Genomic DNA, 7,949 nt, shown 5'->3' on the forward strand with positions numbered 1-7,949 from the left:
CCATCTGAGTGGTTGGGATTACAGGCGACCACCACCATGCTCAGCTAATTTTTGTATTTTTAGTAGAGATGGGCCATGTTGTCCAGGCTGGTCTCAAGACTCCTGGCCTCAAGTGATCTGCCCGCCTTGGCCTCCCAAAGAACTGGGATTACAAGTGTGAGCCATCGCGCCTGGCCTAGAAATTTTTTTAAAGGAAAGATGCTGGGACATCTCATGGAACTGAAAGACCAGCTGAAGCTCCCAGCCTGGAGCTGGGGCAGGAAGTGAGGCAGTTCCAGGGACCTCAGGACAGAAGTTCATAGACCTCTTTCCTTGGGACACTGCCAGAAACTCACTTCTGCTCTAGCAGCAACCAGACTGAGTTTCTCAGGTCCAAATTTCAAATCTCTCTGAGAGTCTGATTGGCCAGCTAGATGAGATGGCCATCCTGGGAAGATGAGCTTGGGCTGGGGAGGCAGCTCGTTTTTTTTTTTTTTTTTTTTTTGAGACAAGAGTCTCTCTCTGTCGCCCAGGCTGGAGTGCAGTGGCACGAACTCGGCTCACTGCAAGCTCCGCCTCCTGGGTTCATGCCATTCTCCTGCCTCAGCCTCCCGAGTAGCTGGGACTACAGGCGCCCGCCACCACGCCCGGCTAATTTTTTTGTATTTTTAGTAGAGACAGGGTTTCACCGTGTTAGCCAGGATGGGCTCGATCTCCTGAGCTCGTGATCTGCCCCCCTCGGCCTCCCAAAGTGCTGGGATTACAGGCGTGAGCCACCGCGCCGGCCAAGGGAGGAGGCTCGGGTTTTAACAACATGGCCACTGGGGGGCAGTTATGAGTCAGTTTACCAGAATCCAATTCATTGGCCCGTTTTCAGCTTGACACTTCACTGCATTTATTTGTTTCTCTTAACCATCCGGTCTTAATTACCTGTCTTAACCATCCGGTCTTAATTACCTGGCTTTTGTTTTGTCTTCACAACAGCGTTTTGGGAGAATGTTGAATCCAAGCGAGCTGAGTCAGCTGTCTGCTGTTAAGCTGGAGACAGAGGGGAAGATTGAATATAAATGGCCCCCAACCTTGACAAAAGTCTCAAGAAATGTGGAGAAGCCCCTGAAAAAAACTGAGATTAAGCTTCTTTCACCCTAGCAGAAAAAAAAGCAGGAGGTTAGGAATCAAGCTGTCAAATAAGGGAGTTTTATTTATTGCATGTTTGGGTTTTGGACTAAGAGTTTACCCCTAGCCGTGTCTCATACCCTTTCTTTCCCTGTCCTGCAAAGCTTAACATGGGAGGTAGAGATTTGTGTCTCTTCTTCTTCTTCTTCTCTCTCTCTCTCTTTTTTTTTTTTTTCCAATCAGGCACTCTCTGTACCCCTGCCACCCTGAGGAAGACAAAATATGAGAGGATCTAGCAAAGTCTCTGCAAAAATGATTAATGTGAATATTCCCATCCGGACTTCCTATGAAAAAGTTGCATTATAAAATGAAAGAATAATTGAAGAAAATATAGATCCAGAAAAATCCATAAAGATGGACAGGAAAAATCAAGAGTTCTATGGGGCTCTTAATGGGTCAAGACCCAGAGGGCAAAGATCATCTGGAAGGCTGGAAACTGGCTAAGTATTTAGAATGGCTTGTGTACTGGTGTGAAGTGAGGAATTGAAAGAGAGCAGGAGAAGGATGTGAAATATATTTTTCTGTGTATTAAGAGTGCACTGGCCGGATGTGGTGGCTCACGCCTGTAATCCCAGCACTTTTGGAAGGCTGAGGCAGGTGGATTGCTTGGGCACACGAGTTTGAGACCAGCCTGGGCAACATGGTAGAATCCCGTCTCTACCAAAAATACAAAAATTAGCCAGGTGTGGTGGCGCAAGCCTGTAGTCCCAGCTACTCGGGAGGCTGGGGTGGGAGGATCACTTGAGCCTGGGAGGTGGAGGTTACAGTGAGCCAAGATCAAGTGAGCCAAGATCACACCACTGCACTCCAGCCTGGGTGACAGAGTAAGACCCTATCTCAAAAAAATAAAAATATAAATATAAAAATAAAAGAGCGTACCTCTGCCCACGTCCCTTAACTTTGGTATTTCCTCCTAAGATTGAGAAAATATTCGAAATACTTCTCCTTTATTTTGATCATTGTTCTGCTTCTCTCAATGTGACTGGCTAGTTTCAGCCTAATAAGGCTTCCCCTGTTTTCATAGGTTTACCCCTCTCTTCTGTAAACAAGGGCTTCCACTAAAGCCTGGTCATCACTGGGAGTTGAGGAGCTGGGGTTGACCATTCTTTGCTGTAATAATTTTAACCGTGGACAAGTTCCTGGTAGGCAGCAAAGGTAGGTTGGGATCCTTGATGTACTCTTGGACCCAGTCGTCATTGGGGTTGGTGCAGACTTCTCGGTTCCTCTTGGTGACGAAGCTGCAGAGGCAGAATTAGACCGTCATGGGCTGCAGACTCGGGCAGGAGTCCGGTGCCCACCCCCACCTCTGGTTCACATGGAGCTCACCTTATGTTCTTTAAAGCTTCCCTGGGCCTGTCCTGGCTGGGTTCCCTCAGACAGCCTCTCTCTCTGGCCTCAGAACCTTACCATCCCTTCTCTCAGTCCCTTCTCCACTCAGCCTAGACCCTCAAGCTTGGGTTTCATAATGAACCACATAGCTAAAAGTGGCAAAATTAGGAATTAATCCCAGGCCCCTGAGAGCCAAAGGCCAAACCCTTAGCCACTGCTCCACTGCTTCTAGCATGGAGACCTCTTGATCCCATGTATCTCATTCCTGCCCCTGGGCTCCCTGTCCCTCTCCACAGAAATATCTAAAAGGACGTGCTTACATGATTGCTGGCAGGTGACAGTTGAGGGCCTTTCTGTATCCCACCACTAGTCTCCTTGGCAACACTTTCTCATAATACTTCAGGCAGCAGGTGGATGGGGTGTTCACCCACTCAGGAACTTCTGAAGGAATCACATTGCAAGCTGAGCCAGGGAAGCAGAGGGGAGACCACAGCTGCCCACCTCTGTCTCCCACCATTTGTGTTTCACTCCTCTGATAGCAAAGCCGTCTGTTAGAGGAGACCAATGATAGCTTGACTGGTAATGAAGTGCATAAGATGAATCCCTTTGGGGGACATACATTTAGAACCCTCAGCCTCTGAGCTGAGTGTCAACTACAAATGACTTAGTTATTCACACTTGCCAAGGAACCGGGAGGAAGCTGGCTCATTCTTTTGTTTATTGGTGACTTGATCGGGCAAACATGTGTTGAGCTAGTATTATATGCTGGGCTCTATGGGGGTAAAAACATGAGGAAGATACAGTCACTACCCTTAAGTAACTTACAGACTAGTCAGGGTTGAAAGAGAAATTGAAAAGTTAAACAAACACTACCACAGAATGTGGTCCAGGATAGAACAGACTTTGGCATAAGGTGCTATGGGAACAGAATGAAGGGCCCCTAACCCATCCTTGGTGGTTGAGGAAGAAGTCTCAAAGCAAGTGAGGCCTGCATTGATTCGTAAAGGATGAGTAGGATTTAGACACACGGCTGGGTGTGGTGGCTCATGCCTGTAATCCCAGCACTTTGGGAGGCCGAGGCGGGCGGATCACCTGAGGTCAGAAGTTTGAGACCAGCCTGGCCAACATGGTGAAACCCCGTCTCTACTAACAAAAATTAGCCAGGCATGGTGGCACATGCCTGTAATCCCAGCTATTCGGGAGGCTGAGGCAGGAGAATCACTTAAACCCGGGAGTCAGAGGTTGCAATGAGCCAAGATTGCGCCACTGCACCCCAGCCTGGGCGAAAGAGTGACTCCATCTCAAAAGAAAAAAAAAAAAGGATTTAGACACACAAAGGACTTGTAGAATCTGGAAGAAAGAAATGCAGGAAAGCCTGAAGGTAGGGGAAGCTCAGTGTGTCTTGGGAGTGCTGGGCAGTTTGGGTGGCTGGCATGCAAGGTAGGAAGAAATGAATGGGCAGAGATGAAACTGGAGAGAGGAGGAGGGTCTGGTCACATACCTGCTGAGCTACTGAGGAATTTGGACTCTATCTTAGAGGTATTGGAGAGGCGGAGGTTAGGGGGAAGGGTGAGAGAGTAGAGCCTTTAGAGACAGAAGTTAGAGCAGGAGGAAAAAGTATATGATTTAGGCTTTGGGGTCAGACAGCTTGGGTTGGAATTTTGACTTGATTTGAATTTTGACTTGAATCATGGGCAAATTTCTTAATCTCCCTAGGTTTCAGTTTCCTCATCTATTAAGTGGGGGTAAATGATACTTACTTGTATCCTAGGATCATGGTTAGAATTCGGTGAGAAAATGATTGGAAAGCCCTTAACTCAGAGCCTGGCACACAGAAAGGCTCAATCAGTGCTTATTATAATTAAGAGCCAATGGTAGTAATGACTGCTCTTCTTGCCTTGGAAATGGCGCTTCCCCCCATCTCTTTGATGTATGCAGGATACTGGACTTGATTGGTTATTGTCACTGTGTTTCCTTTGAGCTGTCCTGACTACCCATCAATTGGGGATACTACACAAGAGGTCAGTCCAGAGATCTCTCCCAGCCCCCAAACCTTCAGAGTGCAAATCTTTTTGTAGCTTGACCCCTTTGCCTCCAGTGAGTGGCAAAGCTTGGGACATCTTGAGAGCACCATCTTGCTGATCCATGCTTTGGGTGGGCCATTTTCTCTTTCTTGAAGCCTGAACCCACTGCACTGGCCTGATTGACTCTCCCAAAGAGCACTGTTCCCCCCTCCCACACAGTCCCTCTGTAAGTGATGCTCATATCACTGGTTCTCAAAGCAAAGTTTACAAAGACCAGGGTCATCCTGAGAGTATGTGGGCAGATTACATGGTGCACTTGACCCTTGCTCCTTTGTGTTTACACAGGCAGAGTCAGGCCAGACTACATGCCAGGGTGACCTTAAGAGAGAAAAGAGGCCAGGCATGGTGGCTCATACCTGTAATCCTAGCACTTTGGGAGGCCGAGGTGGGCAGATCACGAGGTCAGGAGTTTGAGACCAGCCTGACCAACATGGTGAAACCCCGTCTCTACTAAAAATACAAAAATTAGCTGGGCGTGGTGGTGTGTGCCTGTGATCCCAGCTACTCAGGAGGCTGAGGCAGGAGAATCACTTGAACTCGGGAGGCGGAGGTTGTGGTGAGCCGAGATCGCGACACTGCGCTCCAACCTGGGCAACAAGAGCGAAACTCCATCACAAACAAAACAAAACAAAACAAAACACAACAAGCAAACAAACAAAAAAACAAAAGCGAAAAGAATGGCTGGGGCAGCCTAGGGCAGGTACACGTCTTTGTCCTCCCCACCCCCGTCACCAGGTCCTCGTAAACAATGATAGAGGGAGGAGATACGGAGGGGCAAAACAAACCCCCTCCTCCATAGGCCCCAATTCTCCCTTTCCCCACAGCTCCAAAACCTTTCAACCCCTTTCCTCTTTTCTGCAGATTTTATTTAGTCATAGGCTGGGGGATGGAGAAGGGGACCATAGATTCCCAAGCAGCCATTCCACTGGGACTCATTTTGGTTGTCTGATAGTCCCAGCAACCTGTGCCAGCCATGTTGAGGAAGGGCTCTCTCGGTTCAGACTCCCAATTCCTGGACTTAGACCCACATGATTGTTTGAACCTTCCTTCCTCTCGCCACTCATTCTTCCAGGGCACCTGCCACTTTTCTTTCTCATCCGCGTGCCTCCCCCTCCCTTTCATTGCATGCACTTCTTGTTGCATTTTCTGCTGCTTTCTTGGCCTCTCCTCCTGAATGATCATTCCTGCTCACCACGCTTGGGACTCCTGAGGAAATGGTGACCCAGTTTCCTGGAACTACTTACCCCAGAAAGATCCGGACCAACCCCAGCTCTACTTACAAAGGGGAGAATTGGAGGTCAGAAGCTATGCATGAAGGTGGGGAGAGCCCACAGGGTCTTATGAGGCCAGAGACCCGACAGCGCCCTTGGCACTACCTCCCTGCCAGCTGCTCCATCCCCCTTTCTCGTTCCTGCCCTACAGAGACAAGTGGACTCACTTGGCTGGCTGCGAGAAGCCGAAGTAATGATAAGGATGAGGACAAGGAGAGACAGGGCAGCCTCGGAGACCTTCATCCTCTCAGCGAGGCAGTACAGCTTCAGGGAGAGCCGAATGAAGATGTTGTCTGTTGCTGGTGGTCCGCTTGCCAACTACTCAGCTCTCTGGACCTTGACCGCATCAGAGCCGGTAGAGGAGGAGAAACAACAGGCCTCAGTGTTTGCTGAAACAGAGGGCAGCAGAGGATGGGACTTGGTGCAGAGCTGAATTCAGTAGAATCTGAATTCACGTGAAGAAATGGGCGAATGTGTGTCAGCTACCTTACATGCCCTATCTTATATAATCCTTAAAATAGTGAATAGCGATTATTACTTCCCTGGGACTACTGAGGCCTAGAGGCTAAATAAATTGTCCAAGGTCACCTGGGTGGATAGGCGGATGAAAAACCAGATCTGTTTGATTTCACCATGTTACCTGCCACCATCTGTATGTTGGGGAAGGGCAGGCAGGGTTGAACCACCCCAGCTTCCCCCAGGTGATCAGTCTTGGGGAGATGAGCACAAAGCAGGATTACAGAGCCCAGACTGAGGCAAAGGTAGGGCTTAGTTGCCTCTGAGAAGGAAATGCCCTCTCCCAGTCCAAGGCCACATGATTGAGCTCACACTCTTTCCTGTCACAGTGTATGCTAATACTCCAAAAAAAAAAAAAAACAATGTGCCTGATCCTTGGGTCCCCATTTGTTGCTGGACCGTTTGACTTATTTGTCAATGTTTTTATTTATCTCTTTGGACCTCGGACTTTGGACTGATTTTTAGGTGTAGCCAGCTCGCTGATCCCTCCTGGGTGCCCCCATGGCCAACCATGACCAGCAGGGGACCCTCCAACTCTGTGCACCTGACAACCTGCGTCTGTGCTCCAGGACTCCAGCTTCTGCCCCTCTGGCCTGGGCTCTGGCTGGACCTGTCCCACAGCTTCCTCTCTCTTCAGGTGCCTCAGGACCCTTTTCCATGTTGAAAGCTGCATTTAGAGAAGAGATCAAAGATATAAGGGATTTTGCTGTTGATGGACAGCAAGCTTTAGAGGCATAGGTGATGTGTTTCAGGTGTTGAGGGCAGTGGGAGGCAGGGGCAGAAACAGGGACTGTGCAGATCCTTATGGGGCTTTCTGCTTGGCATGACTGCTCATAGATAGGTAAACCGTATAATGCAGTTACTCCTGGTGGGTTCAAGGCTTCACCTGGTGGTGAAGCTGTGGCTTTTTGTGAGGGCAGGGAGGGTACGTATGTGGGGCATCCTCTTGACCTCTGTTTATGGAGGTGACAAGGCCTGAGAAGCCTGGTTGTGACTTTGGCATGCAGGCCCCCATATGGCCCTTAATGTGGCCCACAAGCCCTTCCTTATCTGTGGAAGGCTGGAGGCCAGGAAAGGGTGGTCATAATCCCTACTCTGGGCAAGCTCTTATTCCAAGTACACAGAGCTCCTCCTTGGGCCCTGAAGATAGGTTTGAGAGCTTATTCTTGGAGCATAGTCCTCCTCTTGATTTCTGTCTTATTCCATCTGTCCCTCTATCCCTCCCTCCCTCTTTCTCTCCATCCATCCATCCATCCCTCCCTCCCTTCCTCCCTCCCTTCCTCCCTTCCTCCCTCCCTTCATCCCTCCCTGCTTCCCTCCCTCCATCCATTCCTCCTTCCCTTCATCCTTCCATCCACACATTCTTCCCTTCCTTCATCCATCCATCCATCCATCCATTTCCTGAACACCTGGTATGGGCTAGGCTTTCTGCTAAGCCTTCTAGGGGATAAAAAAGTTAGTAAAACAATATAGTATAATCTGATGTGTGTAAGCGAAGGGGAGGGGTTGGATAAAATGTCTTCATGCATCATTCCTATTCCAGACAGCAGTGAAGAAAGGCCTTGAAAACAGCACAGAAAAAAGGACTATGGAG

At 49.0% G+C, this 7,949-nt stretch overlaps 1 protein-coding gene across 1 annotated transcript, besides 2 other annotated features; it reads right to left on the bottom strand.

The window, feature by feature from the left end:
- Window positions 1-1,160: 1,160 nt before the first annotated feature.
- CCL16 (C-C motif chemokine ligand 16) lies at window positions 1,161-6,159 on the bottom strand. The gene is made up of 3 exons (NM_004590.4): window positions 6,007-6,159; window positions 2,805-2,925; window positions 1,161-2,393 (listed from the first exon to the last, which is right to left on the bottom strand). The coding sequence occupies exons 1-3, from the start codon at window positions 6,080-6,082 to the stop codon at window positions 2,228-2,230; spliced, it is 363 nt and encodes a 120-aa protein (NP_004581.1). The 5' UTR covers window positions 6,083-6,159; the 3' UTR covers window positions 1,161-2,227.
- Window positions 6,674-6,969: an enhancer, noted in NCBI's record as "tiled region #10414; HepG2 Activating DNase matched - State 5:Enh". NCBI's record gives its function as "activates a minimal TATA promoter and a strong SV40 promoter by Sharpr-MPRA in HepG2 cells {active_cell/tissue: HepG2}" and the evidence as "EXISTENCE:reporter gene assay evidence [ECO:0000049][PMID:27701403]".
- Window positions 6,674-6,969: a silencer, noted in NCBI's record as "tiled region #10414; K562 Repressive non-DNase unmatched - State 20:ReprD". NCBI's record gives its function as "represses a minimal TATA promoter and a strong SV40 promoter by Sharpr-MPRA in K562 cells {active_cell/tissue: K562}" and the evidence as "EXISTENCE:reporter gene assay evidence [ECO:0000049][PMID:27701403]".

This window comes from Homo sapiens, chromosome 17 (genome assembly GCF_000001405.40).
Source record: "Homo sapiens chromosome 17, GRCh38.p14 Primary Assembly".
Taxonomy (NCBI): domain Eukaryota; kingdom Metazoa; phylum Chordata; class Mammalia; order Primates; family Hominidae; genus Homo; species Homo sapiens.

Coding starts and splice junctions, on each gene's coding strand:
- CCL16 (NM_004590.4), bottom strand. CDS start 6,082: ATGAAGGTCTCCGAGGCTGCCCTGTCTCTCCTTGTCCTCATCCTTATC. Junction 2,926..6,006: donor GGCTTCTCGCAGCCAGCCAA/GTGAGTCCACTT, acceptor TGATTCCTTCAG/AAGTTCCTGAGTGGGTGAAC. Junction 2,394..2,804: donor TGTCACCTGCCAGCAATCAT/GTAAGCACGTCC, acceptor CTGCCTCTGCAG/CTTCGTCACCAAGAGGAACC.